The sequence below is a fragment of the Homo sapiens genome, chromosome 12 (assembly GCF_000001405.40).
Source record: "Homo sapiens chromosome 12, GRCh38.p14 Primary Assembly".
NCBI lineage: Eukaryota > Metazoa > Chordata > Mammalia > Primates > Hominidae > Homo > Homo sapiens.
The window spans coordinates 45,265,932-45,287,017 of NC_000012.12; the positions used below are offsets into that span (position 1 = coordinate 45,265,932).

The 21,086-nt window shown below is 40.7% G+C and overlaps 1 protein-coding gene across 4 annotated transcripts in view; it reads left to right on the forward strand.

The window, feature by feature from the left end:
* ANO6 (anoctamin 6) overlaps window positions 1-21,086 on the forward strand; it is a 224,310-nt gene that overhangs the window by 49,837 nt on the left and 153,387 nt on the right. Inside the window, exon 2 of one of the 4 annotated variants that reach the window (NM_001204803.2) lies at window positions 4,531-4,593. The exons of the other annotated variants lie outside the window; for them this stretch is intronic. Within the exon in view, the coding sequence (NP_001191732.1) occupies window positions 4,531-4,593 (63 nt within the window). The remainder of the gene's footprint in view (window positions 1-4,530; window positions 4,594-21,086) is intronic. 4 annotated transcript variants of the gene reach the window in all.

Here is a 21,086-nt window from a genome sequence, read left to right on the forward strand (position 1 = left end):
TAGGGACACAGTTCTTGCCTTCAGAACAATATACTCAAGGATAAGGCAGACCTGAACATAAATCACTTCTCCTTAGCTTTTATTTCTAATCCCAGATTGGCTTAGACCCTATATCCTTGGTGAAACTTCCCCTGGCCATTCAAGGCAAAAGTGATTCCACCTTCCTCTGAATGTCTGTAGCCTGAACTGCCTGTACCACATATTTATCTTTGGGTTGTGATCTTTTCAGTTGTCTGCATCTTAACCCACTTACAAATCTTTGCAAGTTAAAGACTATAGGTTTATAGGTTAAGCCTTTATAGCTTAAAGATTCTATAGGCAAAGTCTGTGGTTCTATGTCATTGATCTCTAAACTCCAGTTTTTAAAAATATTCATAAATTTGTAAAAATCTATAAGATTTTATAAAGAAATTTTAGCCCTGGATTACCATACTTTTAAAAATATATTGCATTGTGGTCTGAGACCGTATGTATTAAAGTATAAAAGATTAGGTTGGCACATAAATATGGCATATCATTTGTTTTTCCATACTTGTTTTAAACATTGGTGCCAAGTCTTTTTTTAAAAAATTGAATTAATATTACTGTGACACTTTCCCTTTTCTTAGTTATCAGCCTTTTGACTATAAGCCAAGCTTTTAAAAGTCACTAATAAAATATATGAGGCTTAGCCTGGTAATATAGTGAGACCTCATCTCTACAAAAACGTTAAAAAATTAGCTGAGCGTGGTAGCATGCACTTGTAGTTCGAGCTACTTGAAAGGCTGAGGCAGGAGGATTGCTTGATCCCAGGAAGTGGAGGTTGCCGTGAGCCAAGATTGTGCCACTGCCCTCCAGCCTGGGTGACAGAACAAGACCCTGTCTCAAAAAACAAGTGTGTGTGTGTGTGTGTGTGTGTGTGTGTGTGTGTGTATAATATGGCTCTAGTTCTTTGAGTTATGGGGTTTGTTAAAAATGACGAAGTGGGAAACCCATTCAGGTCCCAGCTTGAGCCACTTAACAGGGTGAACATGATTTAGTCAGTAACTCCTGTTTCTTCACAAAGCAGATGAGGCCATCAGCATCACGGTGGACATAGTGGGCTTTTCACCTGTTGAAGACTCTTGTGGGTGACTGTATCCATGTTGTGCTATTTGAATTGAATCATCCATCTATTTATCTGTTATATTAGTTTGCTGGGGCTGCCATGACAGAATACTTTAGACTGGGTTGTTAAACAACAGACACTTATTTTCTCACAGTTCTGGAGGCTAGGAAGTCCAAGGTCAAGGTGTCAATACATTTGGTTTCTCCTGAGGCTTGCTAACGACCACCTTTTCTGTGCCCTCACATGGTCTTTCCTCTGTGGGCATGCACTCTGGTATCTTTCTGTGTCCAAATTTCTTCCTCTTTTAAGGACACCAGTCTGATTGGATTAGGGCACACTCTCACACTCTCATTTTCAACTTAATCACCTCTTTAAAGACCCTGTCTTTTCCAAATCCAGTCACATTTTGAGGTACTTTGGGTTAGGGCTTCCACATCTGATTTTTGGGGAGTTATGATTCCATAACATCTATTTAAAATAGCACTTACTAGCCAGGCATGGTGGCTCACGCCTATAATCCCAGCACTTTGGGAGGCCGAGGCGGGTGGATCACTTGAGGGTCAGGAGTTTGAGACCAGCCTGGCCAGTGTGGTGAAACCCCGTCTCTACTAAAAATATAAAAATTAGCCAGGCATGGTGGCGGGCACCTGTAATCCCAGCTACTCGGGAGGCTGAGGCAGGAGAATCGCTTGAACCAGGGAGGTGGAGGTTACAGTGAGCTGAGAACATGCCAGTGTGCTCCAGTCTGGGCAACAGAGCAAGACTCCCATCTCAAAAAAAATAGCACTTACTTGTTGTAAATTATGTATGAAGAGGCTAGCATAAAGAAGAAACCGGAAATAGCCCTCCACTTATTTAGTGCCTATTATTAAAAGGGGAAGGGTACAGGTATATGAAAAGATAAGTCAAAACTGTATTGAAGGGTATAAAAGAAAAATAACTCTCTCTCCCAACCCTCTCCTATTTTAGGAAACTTCTTTAAAATCATTTACACAAATGTTTAAAAAGGCCAGGTGCATTTTTTAATGTATTAGTGTGTCAGAGAGAGTACAGATATCTCTATATCTGCACACAGATTAGGCTTTTAAATAACTACATAGTATTCCATTGTGTATGTACTATAATTTACCTAATCACCTATTAACAGGCGTGTAGATTGTTTCCAGTTCCCCCACTACTCCATTACAAACAGTAGTGCTGGATTCCTTTTACAAACCCAGGTCTGGGCACAGTGGCTCATGCCTGTAATCCCAGCACTTTGGGAAGCCAAGGCAGGCAGATCACTTGAGGTTAGGATTCCAAGACCAGCCTGGCCAACATGGTGAAACCCCATCTCTACAAAAATACAAAAATTAGCCAGGTGTGGTGGTACATGCCTGTAATCCCAGCTACTCGAGAGCCTGAGGCAGGAGAATTGCTTGGACCTGGTAGGTGGAGGTTGCAGTGAGCTGAAATTGCACCGCTGCATTCCAGTCTGGGTGACAGAGTGAGACCCTGTCTCAAAAATTAAATAAATAAATAAATAAAATACATACATACATACTTAACCAGGATGAAAAAAATAATGAAGAGCTACCTAAGAAGAATAACTGGGCTCTGATCTTGGTGAAAACCATCTTTGTTTTTCACCTTCCTGTTTATTGGTCTTTACAAGAGTTGTTGTGAAAGGCATTTCATTCTTTCCTGTCCTCCAGTACCTGACCACATGCCAATACCTCTTCTTCCTGCAATAATAGGAAGGGAAAGGGCTTTCCTTGGCAACATTAGGTCATAGTCCTCCCCAGGAAGAAAGGTCTGTCTGGATCATTAACGGGCATAGACTATTTTTAGCTAAGGAAAACAATTTTTCTTGTAAGAATTGCTATTTCCGTGCTCAGGGCAGCACATGCATCCTTTCTGGCTGCTTCCACCCATTGGCAAGGGGCCAGCTCTCTAATGGAATGTGAGCAGTCTTACTGCTAATCAAGATTTATGGTGGAGACCAGGACGCCTGGCCGCTCATTGGATTTGCAGACCCTCCAAGCTAACAGCGGCAGCCTTGAGATTAAGTGCAATGCAGAGGCTCTGGTGCTGTTCCCAGGCCCTCCCTTCTTCTCTGGGGCCAGCTTCTTAGCCACAGGTATCATCTGGCATTATTTTATAAGCTGTGCCATAGTGCAGATGTTCTTTTCTGAGGAATTACTTTCATTTCTGACTCATTTCAGGAAATGAGACAGTCTATCAGAGGTATTCTTCATTTCCAGACCCCTGGAGAGTTCATTTTCACCTGGGATTTCTAACCACATGGGGGCAGTGCTTTATTTACCCAGATGTGAGAAATAACAGTAATGAATAGTCTTCTTCTAAGGCAGCCCTTACTTCCCTGCAGAATCCAGTGTGAAGGCCCAGAGGTAGCTTATGCCCTTATTAGTGTAAATATTTCTGAGGCTTTGGTTTTGTGATGCTTGTGGACATGCTGTGTGTATGGGCTTTGGTGCAGGAAAAACATAATTTAGCAACAGATTTAAAAGGTAGTCTGGAGTGTTTCTAATTACTGTTTGTTTAGTTCACCATTGCCTAATAAGTGGATTTAAGTAACCTCGGGGGTAGGGAATGTAATGTTCATATTACAGTCAACCATGCAAATCAATTTCTAACTAAGTATTGCAGAGAACACACCGTGGAGCCATTTTATAGAAGTATTCCATTGAATCTTAAATTTAGACCTGAGAGCATTTTGGATTGGGCATTTCCCACTGGTTGATGCACACAGCCATGTGTGGTACAGTCCCGTTTAAGATCCTTCGGTGGCCTTTGGCATTTAGTTTTCTTGTTAATTCAATGTAGTTTTCTTTTTAATTTTCCCATCCTTCATTGACCATAATAGGGAACTGAAGTATTAAGAGGGCCCAGAACAGTAGTTGTCAACCTTGGTTGTAGCTTGGCATCATTCTGGGAACTTTGAAATTACTGATGCCTGAGGCCACCTCCAGAGATCTGGTTTAATTATTGGAATGCAGCCTCCACTGGGATTTCTAAAAGCTCCCAGAAGATGTTATTGTGCACCAGGGGTAGTGAACCACAGACCTGAGATGTCAGGGTCCTGAGAGCTCATCTCATCCAGTGGTTCTCAGCCCTGGCTGCAGATTAGCATCATCTGGAGAGCTCATGAAAGAAGCACTGAGGTCCCACCACCTGAAACGACCTTTCAGAGGAAGGAGCCATTCTTTTTAGAAGGTGCTCAGGTGATTTTGATGCACAGCAAGAGTTAAGGTTAACTGACATCTTAGCCATCCCATGTTATAGATAAGGAAAATGAGAGCAAAAATGGTCAAATGGCTTGTACGAGGTCAGGTCCTTGTTGTTACAGAGGCAGGTCTGATGCCGCCTCCTGCTCTGTCTGCAGCCTAACACCATCCCTTATATTGGCCTGTTGTATTTATTGATGCCTCCTCATCCTTCAGGTGATGTTCCTGCCTCCAGGAGGCCTTTTCTGACTCCTCATACTCACCTCCCATCCAGCCTGGGTAAGATCCCCTTCCTTTGTATTTGAACAGCATCCTTCCTTCTTTTTCCCCTCCGACTGTCAGTTCCGGGAGAACAGGCCTGTCTTTCCTGTTATTTCTGTAACAGTAGTGGGGTTTCAGATAATATTTGTTGAATTGAAGTTCTGTAACTTTTTATTCCTCAGTCCACATGGATTGCTGAAAATAATCCATTCCTATATGCATGCTTCAGAAAAGAACTTCAGAAAGCAAAAGTTATTTTTTTTTTGAGACAGTCTCACTCCGTCACCCATGCTGGAGTGCAGTGGTGCAATCTCAGCTCACTGCAACCTCTGCTTCCCAAGTAGCTGGAATTACAGGTGCATGCCACCACACCCAGCTAATTTTTGTATTTTTAGTAGAGACAGGGTTTTGCTATGTTGACCTGGCTGGTCTTGAACTCCTGACCTCAAGTGATCCACCCACCTCGGCCTCCCAAAGTGTGGGGATTACAGGTGTGGGCCACCATGCCCGGCTGCAAAAGTTATTTCTTACCTGTCTATGGCTCACTGTACTATGGGCCAGGATCTTAAAAGCAAGAAGGACTTCCCACCCTGCCTTCCAGGAGAGAGAGTTTTAGCAAAAAATGTTTGGCAAGGATATTTTGATGACAAAATAATGAAAACAAGATTTCAGTGACCTTACATGTTACTCAAGCTATGTACAACATCCAGGGACCTTCGAATAACATACAAATGTATATGGCATAACAAAAGGGAGTATTGTGGCATTACCTAACAACAAAAAGTTGTCTGAAGTAAATGATGCTATTTTATAAATATACATTTTAAGGACTGAATTATTATTTGGTGCAAAAGTAAATGATGCTATTTATAAAAATACATTTTAAGGACTGATTATTTGATGCAAAAGTAAAAGTAATTGTCATTACTTTTAATAGCAAAAAGTACAATTACTTTTGCACCAATCTATAATATTTTAAAGCAGCCACATTCTGTTAGTATAGCTGAATTAAATCCTTTGGCTTCTTTGGATTAATATGTTTTGTCTTTTCAAATGATTTTTAAAAACTCTATCTTCTGTCATTGCAGTGTACTTAGGATCATCCTTGGCCAATGTTCTATTTTTACTGGAAAAGTATTTTCAGATTTGCACTATTTACATTTACCCTTGTAGCTGTACCAGAGACTTTTCTGTAAAAGCAAGATCACAGCTAGTATCTGCTTAGCCTACAAGTGGCCAGGAAGCTCACTGCTGAGATGCTGAAAAGTAATAATTTTCTTGGGTGAAAAATACATAGTTAAAATTTTTTGGAACTAAAACTGCAAACTGGGCCTCGTTGTAGAGTAGACCCCAAGATGTTAAGATGGTGCAAACAGGACAGAATAATAATTGAAATGTGAAGAACCTCTTTGAAATCCTAAGTCTTCATACTTTCATGCATTATTTTTAAGAGCCTTCATATTGGAGAGCAAATGGTAATGTGGCAGTGTGGAAGTAAAGTCACCATATATCATGGAAAATCTTCCTAAAACAAATATTCTTGAAACTTTCAAGATAAAGCAAATCAATTTAGTTGGAGGTAAATATAAAACGTTTTTATATTAAATAACTTTTATTGTTTAAAGATGCAAATTTTTTGTGAAGATAAAACATGAAGATTTGAAGAACCACCTTTTTGGGTTTTTTTTTCTTTTCTTTTTTTTTTGCTGCTATGTAGGTGAAAAATTTAACAAAAACTACTAATGAGTAACCAACTTCTATCACACAAACTTCAGAGGCTCAGCAGTGCATTCTGGAAGTGAAGAGAAGGGTCAGGAGAGAAAAAAGGGTTTTTTAAATATGTAAGACTGCATTTTCAGTGTTTTCATCTATGTCCTGTCATCAAACTTTTATAACTACCCTGCAAATTAGGATTTATTCTGACCAGATTTTTACATTTACCTGTTCACTAGAGAGAGGAGCCAAAATTTAAATCCAAGTAAGTCTGATGTCCTTGTGTTTTTACACTGAATATGGCCTCTCATGTCATAAGAAGAGAGAATTCTCCAGAAGAGACATTATTAACTATGAGCGTTTACCATGCTGGTGGAAGAGGGCTGGCTTTAGCTTCCCTTAGAGTTCTTAATAAACACAAATAAGTTGATGAGAAAAAGTGTTGGCAGTGGTATGGAAAAAAGGGAATCCTTGTAAACCATTGGGAATATAAATTGCATAACCATTATGGAAAACAGTATGAAGATTCTAAAAACAAAAATCAAAAATAGAACTACCACATGATCCTGCAGTCCCACTTCTGAGTATATACCCAAAGGGAATGATCTTAGTATCTTGAAGAGACATTCACACTTTTGTGTTCATTGCAGCATAATTCACAATAGTCAAGATATGGAAACAACCTAAGTATCCATTGATGGATGAATGGATAAAGAAATTTTGGTCCATATATACAGTGGAATGTTATTCAGCCTTAAAAAAGAAGGAAATCCTGCCATTTGTGACAACATGGATGAACCTGGGAGATGTTATGCTAAGTGAAATAAGCCAGACACAGAAAGACAAATACTGTTTGACCTCACTTACATGTGAAATCTAAAACAGTCATAAAACCAGAGAATAGAACAGTGATTGCCGGGGGGCTGGGGGAAATGAGACATGTTGGTCAAAGGGTACAGAGTTTAAGTTAAAGAGGACTAAGTTCTGGGGATCTAATGTACAGTATGAATGGTGATGGAGTGTGTTAATTTGATTGTGGTAATTGTTACACAGTGTATATCAAATCACATTGTACACCTTGAATATATTCAATCTTTGTCAATTAAATATTTTAAAATGGAAGAAAGGATGGCCAATTTTGATCAAAAGTCATATAGTCAGATAGAATTTTGTGATCTGACTCCCAGAAACTACACATTTGATTTGGGGAAGGCAGCCAAGCAAAATAGTTGATAATTTGCTCTTTTCGTTTGATTCCTAGGTTTGAGAATCTTGGCTTTCCTACCTACTAGCTGTGTGATTTTGGGCAAGTCACTTAACCTCTTTGTGCCTTAGTTTCCTCATTGGTAAAATGGGAATGATAAAACTTGATTGCTATTGATTTTCTTCTCACATGCTGTGAGTTAGAAAAATGTAGGAATTTGTAGAATGGTTCTGTTCTGCTCCAACAAATTGGGTTCTTTGCTGTGAGCCTTGGTCTGCTTCCTATTTACGCCTCCCCATTAGAGCCATTTCTATTTCACAGGCACAGGGATCTCTTCTGTTGCTTCCTGGGAGAATCCTGAAGGAGGCTTGCCATGGGGTGAGGCTTCCTTGGAAACAGAGGCATAGTGTTCTAAATGAACTGAGGGTTACTAAGTGGTCTGAATACACTTATGGGTAAGGAATGTTATCACAGAGGATTGTTCATTCATCATGAGTCACAGAGCCTCCCAGAACTTTCTCTTGGAGCTCATGCTTATCTCAGCAGCACGGGGCACAACTGACCACTCCCTGCTTCCTGAAATTCTTTTTTTACTTGGCTTCATGATGCTACTTTATCTTGATTCTGCTCACTGCTCACTTGTTCTTTCCCAATCTCTCCTGCTGGATCCTTCTCTTCTTCTGGCCCCTAAACTTTGGAGCACCCAGGGCTTAGTGCCCTGACCCTCTTCCCCATCTCCACTCCTTAGGTGATCTCATTCATTTGCAAGGCCCTGAATGCCATCTGTATGTGGATGACTTCCACATACTTATGTCCACTCCTTATCTCTCCCTTGCTTTACAGCTGTCGGCTTTACTTCTTCACTTAGTTGTTTAGTAGATGAGTTGAACTTAACATTTCCAAAACCAAATTCTTGATTTGTTTCGTGAGTCTATACTTCCTCCATTGTTTTAACCTATGCAGTGATACCACCTAGTCACTCAGGCCCCAAAGCTGAAGTCATCCTTGATTCCTGCCTTTCTGTGACACCTCGTATTCTCAAATTCAAGCACCCAACATCCCCTGCGCCCACACCTAAATCGGAGCCCAGGCCACTACTAAGTTTTGCAAGGACTCCTGTAGTCGCTTCCTGCCACCATTCATGCACCTCTTGGTCTGAGTTCATAGAACAGTCACAGTGATCCTTCTCTTTTACACCTTTATACTGTCTGTAGTGGCTTCTCTACAAACAGTATAAAATTCAAACTCTTGGCCATGTACTGTAAGGCCTCTGCTACCTCTCCATCCTCTTCTCTTCCTGCTCTGCGTGTCTCTTAACTGTGCTCTAGCCACACCTGTCCCTTGACATGTCACTCCTTGCCTGGCCACTATCCTCATCATCCTCTCCACCCTCTGTCACCTCCCAACTCCTTTCTCATCTAGGATGCTTGCTGCTGCACTTCCTTCAGTTCTCACTTGAATGTCACCTACTCAGAGCTGTCACCCCTGACTTATCTATCTAAAATGTCACTGTTACTCTGTATCCTCTTAACCTGCTTTGTCTTCAAAACATTTATCTCCAACTGAAATTAGTATATGTACATTTGTTTGTTGTCTCTATCCCAGTAGATTGTAAGCTCTGTAAGGACATTGATCCTGGTGCTCGATAAGTTGTATGACTGAAGGAGTTAGTAAATTAATGCTCTGGAATCCCTGTGTTAAAAATACTAAAGAATCAAACACCTTTCTCTAGACCCTTAGATCCGTCTCCATCTCTTACCCTGTTTCTCTGTCTCCTTTTATTTATTTTTTTATGTTTATTTTTTGAGATGGAATCTTGCTCTGTCGCCCAGGCTGGAGTGCAGTAGCGCCATCTCGGCTCACTGCAACCTCTGACTCCTGGGTTCAAGCAGTTCCCTGCCTCAGCCTCCCAAGTAGCTGGGATTACAGGCACCCGCCCCCACACCTGGCTAATTTTTGTATTTTTAGTAGAGATGGGGTTTCACCACATTGGCCAGGCTGGTCTCGAACTCCTGACCTCATGATCCACACGCCTCGACCTCCCAAAGTGCTGGGATTACAGGCATGAGCCACCATGCCCGGCCTGTCTGTCTCCTTTTAAAGCAAAACTTCTAAAATGTTGCCTACATGTACTACAGCTTCTTCATTACTCATTTATTTTTCAATCTGTTACGTATGGTGTCTTTTCCCATCACTCTTCTGAAATTGATTGTGGCAGAGTCATTCAAGATCTGTGTGTTGCTGCTTCCAATGGATACGTTTCTATCTTACTGGATCTCTGAGTGGCTTTAAGCAGTTTTCTATTGCCTTCTTGAAATTACCTTCTAACTTGGCCTTCCCCCTTCCCTACTGGCCATTTCTTGATCCTCTACTGGCATTTCCTTCATTACTTGGCCTCCTGGGAATGTTGAGAATTCTTCATGCTATGGTTTAAGCCATACCTCTTCTGTCTACATGCTCATCTATTTCAGGGGCTTTAAATACCATTAATTTGCTGACTCTCCAAGGTGTATATCTCCAACACTGAGCTCTTCTGAGTTCTAGACGCCGTACCCTCCTCCCTCCTTGACAGCACTCCTGGATGGATGTCTCATGTTCAGGGAGGAACTCTTGATTTGCTTCCATGTCCCATCTACCCCATCCTGCCTCTGCGCTCTGTGTCTTCACCATCTCAGTAAATGGTACCACCATCCTTCCAATTTACAAAGTCAGAAACCTGTATATCATCCTTGGTTTCTCTTCTATTGTCCTTCCTCTCCCCCCAGTACTTCTACCTTCAAAATGATTTTGAGTATCTTCTCTGTCTCCACTACTATCATCTTAGGCCAGCTTCGTCACCTGGACTTCAACATTAGTCTAATGACTGGGTCTGTCGTTTCCACTCCTGCCACAGAAGTATGCTCTGTGATGGTGTGGTGCCATCCCATTGTTTACCTGTCAGTGTTTACCTCACTTGTTCCCCAGCCTCTCATGTCTTCACTGCCCTGCAGTCACACCGATCTTTGATCATATCTTTGAGCACACCAAGATACTTTCTGCTTCAGAACTATGGTCTTGTTTTTTCTTTTTCCTTGCATGCTCTTTTTTTTAGCCCTGCATAGCCAACTCCTCATACTTCATGTCTCAAATATCACCCCTCAGGGAGGCTCCTGTGACCCACCCTACCCGAAATACTTCCATCTCTTAATCTCTGCTATATCAACTTGTTTATTTCCTTCATATCTCCAAGCAGAGTCAGTTATTTTAAAAGTACTTATATTTAGTTTTTATTGTGGAATATAAGCTTCCTAAAAAGGGACATTTTCTGTTTTATCTTCTGCATCTAGCACGTGCCTGGCATATAGTAGGTGCCAGAACAGTGATTCTTACGTTTATATGTGTTCATGCCATGAGCTCCCCGCCTTTTTTAATTGGGGGAGAAATGAAAAGTTTTTATTTTAGTCAAAGTTTTACATAATTAGTTAGAATGTTTACATAACTCAAAAATTAAATAATGTTGCAGGTTTTGTTATGAAAACCAGCTGCATCACCTTTTCTGTTCGCTGTTCCCCAGAGGCCAGGATTTTTAACTGTAGCTGATTCTTTTAGTAATTACCTCTATATCTCTGGTTAACATAATTAAATTATAATTTATCTATTTTTCAGTTTTAGGCATTATCTATTGATGCAGAAGTATTTAGCTCTTTTTCACCTACTCCAGCCCCCTTCCCTTCTCTCACAAACTTTCCCAACCCCATTCCCTCAATTGTAATTGTGTTATAATTTTGGTAAGATCAGTATGCAGTGTTTACTTTATTATAACTATGTAATACTTTCCACAGATGAGCTATATAATATAGTTTGATTACTTTTCCTCTGGAGACTGTACAGCAGATACTGATATTATTAGTTTTTCATATAGTTATGAATAATTCAACCTCACACTTTTACCCAATTGTAAATCTCCTCTCAGTGTAATCAGCCATGCATGGAATCCTGTCAAATTCATCCTTTGGGGGAGATTCCTCCCACAGCCTTCTGATCTCCTCCACGCTGCCCAGGTTGGTCTTTAGACCTCAGCCGAGTGAGGGATTCCTTTTCACCACCATCCTGAGAACTTGTATTGGAGCCCTACATTTATGTCTTATTTTTTGTTGGTTTACTATTTTATTTTGATGGAGCATATTTCTCAGTGTCTTATGTAGAAAGGGTTAAAGGCAGGTAATTTTTTTTTAAACTTGCGGGTCTGACAATGCTTGTATTTTTCTCTGGCTTTCAGTTGACAGCTTGACTAAGTATATAATTCAAAGGTGGAAATTATCTGCTCTCAGAATTTTGAAGCCTTCTACTTTCAGGAGTTGCTCTTGAAAAGTTCCTGCCATTCTGACTTATGATCCTTTGTATGAAAAACTTTTCCGCTCTGGAATTTTGTGGATTTTTTTCTTTGAACGCAGTACTTAGAAATTCCATAATGATTAGTATGGTGGAAACTCAGGAGACCCTTTCACTATGGCAAGCCCCACCCAATTCATTTTTTTAAGTTAAAAAAATTATTATATGTATTTTTTAGAGATAGGGTCTTGCTCTGTTGCCCAGGCTGGAGTAGGTGGCACAATCATAGCTCATTCCACCCTCAAACTCCTAGCTCAAGCTATCCTCCCCGCTCAAACCACCCTCCACCTCGTAGCTAAGACTATATGCATGCACCACACCTGGCTAATTTTTAAATTTTTTTGTAGAGACAGGGTCTCTCTGTGTTGCCCAGGCTGGTCTGGAACTCTAGGCCTTAAGTGATCCTCCCCACCTTAGCCCCCAGAGTGCTGGGATTACAGGTGTGAGCCACCGTGCCCAACCCCCAACTCCATTTTTTAAAGGAAAAAAGTGTCCTTCAGTTTGTTTTCAGTCGTGGGAGAAAGGTGTTCTTTAATTCCTAATCCTTTTCAATTTGGGGAAATTTCTTTGACAGTTACTTGCCTTCCATTTTGTCTAATCCATGAATACGTCTGTTATTTGGATATTGGCTATCCTGAATTGGTTCTCCAATTTTCCATGTTTCCTATTTTTCACCTCTTTTTGCTTAACTTTATTGAACATTTCCTGAATTTTATCTTTCAAGCCTTCTGTATCATTTTAATTTCCAAAAGCTCTTTTTTTTATTCTTTGACTATTTCTCTCTTTCTCCCTCTCTCCCTTTGGTAACATCTTGTCCTTATTTCATGGATGCACTTTTCTCAATCTCTGATGATGCAAGAGTTTTTTGTTGTTTGTTTTAAGCGTCTTTTTCATGTGATTTCTCCCTCTTCACCAAGTTGCTTTGCTGTTTCTCTGTTAGATGCCCTCTCAGTGTCTGGGAAGTCTTGTCCCTTCTAATTTTTGAGTAGCTGTCTAGAAAGATGGCTGGAAGTTCTGTAGTAGTGGATGGCATTTGGCAATTATGCACTTCACTTTAGGGTGACCTGTTTGGCTGTTTGTTTAGGAAACTCTGTTAGTAATTTTAGGCCGTCCCTCCACCCACCCCTCCAAGTTAATCAGACCAAGAGAAAATACAGCTAGTCAGAAAGCTAAGTAGAAGTCTAGGAGTCTCAACATTCAGCAGTAATCTTTTGTGTAATCTGTCTTTTCAGTATGGGATCCCCATCCTCAACTGTGCCTAGTATCCTCTTGTCTGAAGAGCCTCTGTTCACTCTTTCCAGAGAATACCTTTCAAGTCTTTTCCTAGGTAGGGTGGGGTTGGGAGGCAACCACTTGTCTTTAAGCCTTGAGGAAGGGAATCTGGAGGTCCAACTCCTCAATAAACAGACTTACGACCATTCTCCTGCCCTACCTTCAGTCCCACTTCCAGAGGAGCCTGTGCTGCCAGCCTCTTGAGGGCTTATAATTTAAATGAAATTGCTTCGAGGCTTTCCTATTTTAGTATTTAGCTTTCTCCAATTGGCTAAGTAGTTGCACTTGCCTAACACAATGTCTCCCCAAATTGTGTTACTGTCTCTCCTCCTCTATTTTCTTTGTCTTTATTGGTTTATGTTCTGGTAGTACTTGAGGAGGGGGCAGAGCTAAATGCATATATTCAGTCTTCCATCTTTAAATAAAGTTTCACCGACATGAGTTTTTAATTGTTTACAAGGCATTTGATCACACTTCTGAAACAAATTTCTGTGTGACCTCTGAGTCCCCATTTCACCGTAATTCTTTTGTTACATTATGGGGCGAGTACGTGGAAAGCCCCTGGGTCAGTGTTTAGGACACTTGGGTTCCATTCCCACATTTGCTACAAACTCTTTAATCCTGGGCATCCTGCCTTGTCATTATTTCTGTTCCATAAGACTAAGGAATTAAAAATGATTTTAAGATCTCTTTTTACGCATAGATTTATTTCCAAGAAGTTGAGATAATTGTATGTAACTGAACACCGGAATAGGAAACAGAGTTGTGGCAGCCAGTTGAAGAAATGTGAAGTTAAGTTTCTCCTTGTATTTTTTAGTCAGTCTCAGTAATTCTGACATTTTCAAAGTCAGGTAAAATTGCAACCCACATTTCATGAACAAGAGCTGTTAAAAGGTTAAAAATTGTGGATTTTTTTTCCTCTGGGCTATTTTCAGCTGATAACAGTTCAGCTCCAAAGCACACTTGGATTCATGTTCTCAATAGCCAGATAAAATGTTAGTTTTGAACAGAAGAACAGGAAAGATAATAGAGGTCTATTTTTTCCCCTTTTGCCCTCTGGCAAGGATGGCCATCCTGGGAGCACCCATCAGGAAATGTGTCCTTCCCATCAAAGCCATGTTTGAAAAGATAATACGCCCATCTCTGTATATTTTTTTTCTCTTTTCTAAGTTGCTGCTTCTCAGCTGGATGGAAAGACAAAGTGGACATGGCATGTCACCGTGACTTTGAGTGACGAGTTTGATCAGTAACCCAGTGTGCTCAGCTGTGGTCAGTACAATGACTGAGGAGAAAATGTGGTTGTGAGATCAGTGACCCTGTGGCCTACAGACCAAAGGGCAGTGCTTCACAAATTGCCATGTACATGGGACCCAACCCCTCACCAATTACTAGCACAGAATCTCCATCAGGCAAGGTGTAGGAATCATTTTGCATAGTTCTCCTGGTTATTGTTACACATTTGATTCTTGCACTGATTCTGGGAAAACATTGCCTTGGGACAGGAAGCCAAAAAGAAAATTGGAGTCTTGAATATTTACAGAGCTCAGAAGAAAAACCCAGCAGAATGGAAACTGATCCTGGCACACCGAGTCAGCAGATGCTCTCCTATCAATCACAGAAACTGTTTCAAACTCTCACTGTCTTCCTCTATTCCACACCCTCTTGGCCTCTCAGTAGATCATTTTCTTAAATCAGAAAGGAAAGGAAACCTGCAGGGGCTACTGCCTCAACTTCTTTTATCTCCCTTCCTCCAAAAATGCATATACATTGTGTGCATGTAAATTGTATCATATATGTGTTTTTATATATATATAGAGAGAGAGAGAGAGAATATATGTATATTTTATATATAATGCATATATAAATGCATGTTTACATTCATCTTTGCTTCTCCCATCTGTCATCTTTCTGATAAATGTTAATGCCTTCACCTATGCCTCTCTCCATCAGTGATCCTCCTGTGTTTTTCTTTCACTGTTTTCCATCAACGTGTGTATGTGTATATGTGTGTGTGTGAATAGGTAATATGAATACAAGTTTCATCTTATAAAACAAGGCACAAAAAATGAACAAAAATATATCTTCCTCAACCCTACCTTATTTATTCATTTAGTAAATATGTATTAGGGTCAACTGTGTACAAAGATTCTGGCTAACTACTGAGGTTCTACAGCAAACTAAATAGGTACAGCTTCTGTCCTCATGATGCTTGTAGTCTCTTTTTAACCAGCCTTCTTTAAAAATCATTGGTCTTATTTTTTCCCATGTTATTCCATTCTTGTGTTGCTGTAAAGGAATACCTGTGACTGGGTAATTTATAAAGAAAATAAGTTTATTTTGGCTCACAGTTCTGCAGGCTATACAGGAAGTGCACTGTTGGCATCTGCTTCTAGGAGGGCCTCAGGGAGCTTACAATCATGGCGGAAGGCGAAGGGGAGGCAGCATGTCCCATAGCGAGAGCAGGAGCAAGAGAGAGAGGAGAATACCATACTCTTTTAAAACAGCCAGATCTCATGTGAACTGAGCAAGAACTCATAAGCATGGGGATGGTGCTCAGCCATTCATGAGACATCTACCCCCATGGTCCATTACCTCCCACTAGATGCTGCATCCAACATTCGGGATTACATTTCAACAGGAGATTTGAAGGAGACAAACAGCCAAACCATATCATTCCCCATTACAGAAATAACATCTGTTTGTTATCTTAAATTTGAAAGTGGTTTCCTAATGGGAAGCTATTAAAGTATTTAAAGCAGAAAAGTACTGGGTCAGAATTTTATTTTCAAAGATTGCTTTGGCTACTGAAAAGATAAGTGATTAAAAGGGGATGAAAGTTGCTGGCAGGTGGGCGGGCGGTCAGGAGGTTGGTGCAATAGTCCCAATAACAGATGCAAGGGGCTTGGCAGGATGAGATGAAGAGAGGAAGACAGTCAAGAACTCTTCAGCACCATAGGAGAGTGAATGTTTGGCTGTGGGGGATGCGGAAGGGAGGCTAGTCAAGGATGACAACCAGGTTTCTGGCTTGACCAGCCAAATAAGGGGGGTTACCATTTATGCAGACAAGAAATATTGAAGAACAGCTTTGAGTGTGTTTGTGGTTGAGAGGGAAGCATAAGTCCTGTGTGTTAATACTGAGTCTGAGATGCCTGGGACATTTCCAAGTCAAGATGTTGCATAGGCAGTTGGATATGTGAATCTGTGGCTCAGAAGAGATGGCTGAAATAGAGCAATGCATTTGGAACCTTTAGTCTACCTGTGTTAACAGTTGCCAGCAGACAAAGAGGAGCAGGGCTTGGATGGAGCCCTGAATATTTTCAGAAGTCAAGGCGCAGTCAAGGAGGAGGCACCAATGGAGGAAATCAGAGAAATGGAAGACCCTCTAAGAGAATGAAACCAAGAGGAGAGAGTCTTCAAAAGAAGTCGTGGCCAGCCGTGTCAAAGCTCATTGAGATGTCAAGTAAGGCAAAAATGTAAAATGGGCATTAGGTTTAGCAGCATGCAAGTCACTATGGACCTTAGAGCCGGCTGGTGACTGATGGGGGCTGAGTCCATGGTAGAGGAGTGCCAGCGTACTTTGACCTTATCAGTAGTAGTAAGGACTATGTTATAATGCAATAGGTGCAGTGGAAAGGCTGATTAAAGTTGTTTTAACTTTTTTGATAACCTTTTATCTTTATTGTTTTATTCTGATTACAAAGCAATATATTTTACAATGAGTCATTGTAAAAGTTCTAAACATTAGAAAGTATAACTGAGAATCATCTCCATAATTGCATTCTCTCATATATAGCCACTGTTAATAGTTTGAGGTGTATCCTTCAAGACTTTTCTGTACATGTGCTATTGCTCGCTCTCTCATACACACTTACATTACAAAAATTGGCTTTATTGCTATGTCGTTGGCCAGAGTTTGTGTTTTTGTTCTGTATATTATAGACATGTTACTCCCTAAAGTAGAAGCATACTATTCTATTGTGCTGTAGTGTTGTCTGGATATTTTAGTTTTACTTAGAAATTTTGGTGTCTCTCATAATGTTACACTCAACATCTTAACGTACTTATGCATATTTATATTTTTCCAAATGTGTACAGGAATTAAGTAGAATTTGTGAGGTCGAAGTATATGCACATTTAACATTTGATAGTGATACATTTCCTAAGGAGAGGCTTTTTACTTTTTTAAGATGGAATAAATCTGAGCATGAAAAATGTTGACAAAGGTGAAAATGAAGCGTAGGTTGAAGTCACAGTAAAAAGTGCTGAAGTCACAAGAAGTCCTGTGGGAATGGGAGTCATGGCATAGGAGGAGGCTTTGGGCTATGATCAGAAGGGATATGCCACCTCTCCCATGAGGAGGAGTGGGTAGATGGGACAGGATGGGGAAAGGCAAAGTCCTCAGTTACTGCTGTATTTCCAGAGCTTGCCCAGTGCTTACGTTTAGCAAGAGTGCCACAAACATTTATTGGTTGAAGGAATAAATATAATTTGGTTGATTCAGTTATATAATTTAATGTTTCCATGTAATAGCATCTATTTTTTCTACTCTGTCTACATAATGGGAGCTAAGATTTCCTGCTGAAACTGGTGAAGGAAGAGTTAGATTTAAAAGGCCCTTCTTACTTAGTGAACCCAGTAGGTAAAGTCAGACAGGACTCGTAGTCTAAGCATTTCTCATCTTCCTTTCCTATGAGCCTGCAGGGCCTGTTGATTCTAATACCTTAATGTCACCGGAATCCATGTATTTCTGTTTATCCCCACTACCACCATCACTGTTATTCCAGCCTGGGTTTTCCTATCACAACAACCTCTTAGATTGTCTCTCACTTCCTCTTATGCATCCATAAGGACATGGTTTAGGGGTGTCAAGGCCAAAGGAAAACTTCCCCTTTGCTTTCTGAAGGTTTGCTGAAAATCACTGACAAGAGGCAGATTAATAGGATAAAAGGCATACAAATTTATTTGATCATAGTTTTAGATGATATGGAAACCTTCAGAATGAAGACCCAAAGATACAGGGGAAATTGTCCATTTTTATGCTTAGATTCAAGAAAGTATAGACAGCCATGTAGAAACACAATTGGAAAAAAGGGTCTGATCTAATGCGAATAGACAGAATGGGGAAACCCAGCAAGGCCTGTGTGTCCAGACGCTTCTTGACCTCTCTAAGCAGCATTCCTTCTTTCTGGGTAAGACTCTCTGGAATGTGGATTTTAACCTACAGTCAAACAGTGTAGATCAGATAAGTACTTTATGGCCAGAATCTTATGGCCAGAATTTCTTTATCTCCACCTTTCTGTATAATTTTGTAAAAAATCCCTCAAAAGGAATTCTGGCTTCTAAACTCATCTTCTAGTTTCTGTGGCCAGCCTCAGGGGAGAAGGGGATTGAGAGATACGCGGGCAGGAGAAGGTCAGAGAAAAACTTTTGCTTCTAAGGCTGCTGCTAAGGCCTTTATTTTAAAAGGGGTGTTGTTTGCTGATGCCCACCAGGGGCTACCTCGTCCAACTCCCAGCCAGGCTGCTTTAGGAGTCTCTTCTTGGGCTCCCCCAGCCATTTGCAGGCATCTGTTCTCCCCAGATGGTCACTGGTATGTTTTATTTACCTAAAGCCTTCACACGTAAAATACCTTAGTGACTGTTGTCGTGTATCTAAGACCTACTGTAATGCTTAGCTCATCCTGCATGCCAAGTAAATGATAGTTATTATGTGTGAAAGTCTGATGCCTGTATAAATTTGGCGCATAAAAGGAAAGGACAAGGACAAAAGCAGGCCTCAGATGAAACCACAAAGGACCAGTAATTTAAGACATTTAATCCTGGAACAAGCCTCAGGATTATTACTCCCTAGGGAGGGGCAATCTGAGTTATATGTCATTTCTGTTATTTCTGTAATTAACATGTTAAGTGCATATTTAAGAAATTTTAAGTAGCTTGAATCTCTAAGATGATTTAGCTGTAGTCAGATAATCTGTTTATTTTGTAAGATCTCAACTAAAGAACTAAATTGTGATATTTTCTGGAGTAAAAATACTTAAATTTCCTTAGCTATGCCTGGCCACCTGGAGAATATAATCACATGATTGAAGTCCAGGTTGGGATTCTAGAAGAAATGGCCTTCACAGACCTATTAAATAAAGAGCTTCCCAATTTGAAGGCAGTGTTCCTGCCTGCCATCCATCACCATGCCCCACCCCATCTACTGAGGAGAGTAGTAGGAAGTAGTTACCAACTAGCACCTGAATATAATTTTAAGTTACAGAATCAACTATCAAAGTATAATGAAAGAAGAGACACGAGGAGTTGATTATTTGTGGAGAAAACAGCATAGATTCAAGCCCCTTATAAAAGTTACATATTCAGAGTTGAGAAATGCTGCAGTAAAAAGGCTACCGAGGCCGGGGGCGGTGGCTCACGCCTGTAATCCCAGCACTTTGGGAGGCTGAGGCAGGCGAATCACAGGTCAGGAGATCACCAACATGGTGAAACCTTGTCTCTACTAAAATACAAAAAATTAGCCAGGCGTTGTGCTACGCACCTGTAGTCCCAGCTACTCAGGAGGCTGAGGCAGGAGAATCGCTTGAACCCGGGAGGCAGAGGTTGCAGTGAGCCGAGATCGCGCCACTGCACTCCAGCCTAGCAACAGAACAAGACTCCGTCTCAAAAAAAAAAAAAAGAAAAAGAAAAAAAAAGGCTCCCAAGTAATTGTGTGGAGCACCTGCATCAATGGGATGGTCTGGAGAGGAGGTCATTGTGAGTGTTGTAGGCTGAAAGAGATCAGCACCCTGTGGCACAGGGCCAGGTGCTTCTTTCTGAGACTCCTCCTCCCCACTGGAGGTCTGAGTTTCCCTCAGATAGCTGCCTTATTCAGAGCACTTGGTGAAGTCCTTAGTTAAGATAGCCATTGCGGTTGCTACCCCTTCAGCAGTAAGAGAATGGCTGGGGCCTGATCTGGATATCCTGCTTCTGAAAAATTACCTGAGGCTACTGGGCTGTGGAAGGTTGAACAAGAAAAAGGCTTCTACTGATAGAGTTGCACTTGACTCCTTCCCTGTTTTACCTCTGAGCAGCAGCAACAGCACGATGGGCAGTGGCTGGATATGAATTTATAATTTTTTAAAGAGAGATCTCCTCGTGTTGCCTAGGCTGGACTTGCACTCCTGGGCTCAAGCAATCCTCCTGTCTCAGCCTCCTGAGTAGCTGAGACTATAGGTGACTGGGACTTGAATATGAATTTAAATAATCTTAACCGTAAAGGCATTCAGTTATATTTGGCCTAAAATAATACCCTGAACTAATAAAACATCCATCCAGAAGGAATTTTTATTGTTTCAGTCCATTATTTAACCGATGACTTAAAAAATATCCATACATTCAAGATTTAAGTAGGGGGTATGATTTAGAAATACAACAGAGAATGCAAAAAATGGAATTTAGATAGAGCTAATGTGTTTTGAGTTCTCCCCACTTTCAGTATTAGACCAAATTTACATATGGTTTTCCTTATCTTCAGTGTGACCTAACATTTAATAAACTATCATCAGCAACTTTATTTCTCAACAGCTATCTTCCTAAAGCTGTATACCCCTCTTTTAAAAATGAAAAGAACTTCAGGCAGGATTAAGCATAACATTTTTTCCCCTCTCATTTGCAATACAAGTAGCTAATGTTTGTCAAGTGTTTACTATGTGTAAGTAACCAGGCTAAACACTTCACATGCCACAACTCATTTTATCCTCAAGACAACCCTGAGGGGTAAATACTAGTCCCATTTTCCAGGTGCAGACACTGAGGGGGATAGGAAGGTTGAATGATCTAAGCTCCCGTGGTTAGGAAGTGGTAGGTCTGGGATTTGCATTCAGGTCTGTCTTACTCCAGCAGCCAGTCTTATATTAGTTATGCATTCATTTGGTCAGTCATTCAAGAGATTAATGATGGATCGCCTAACATGG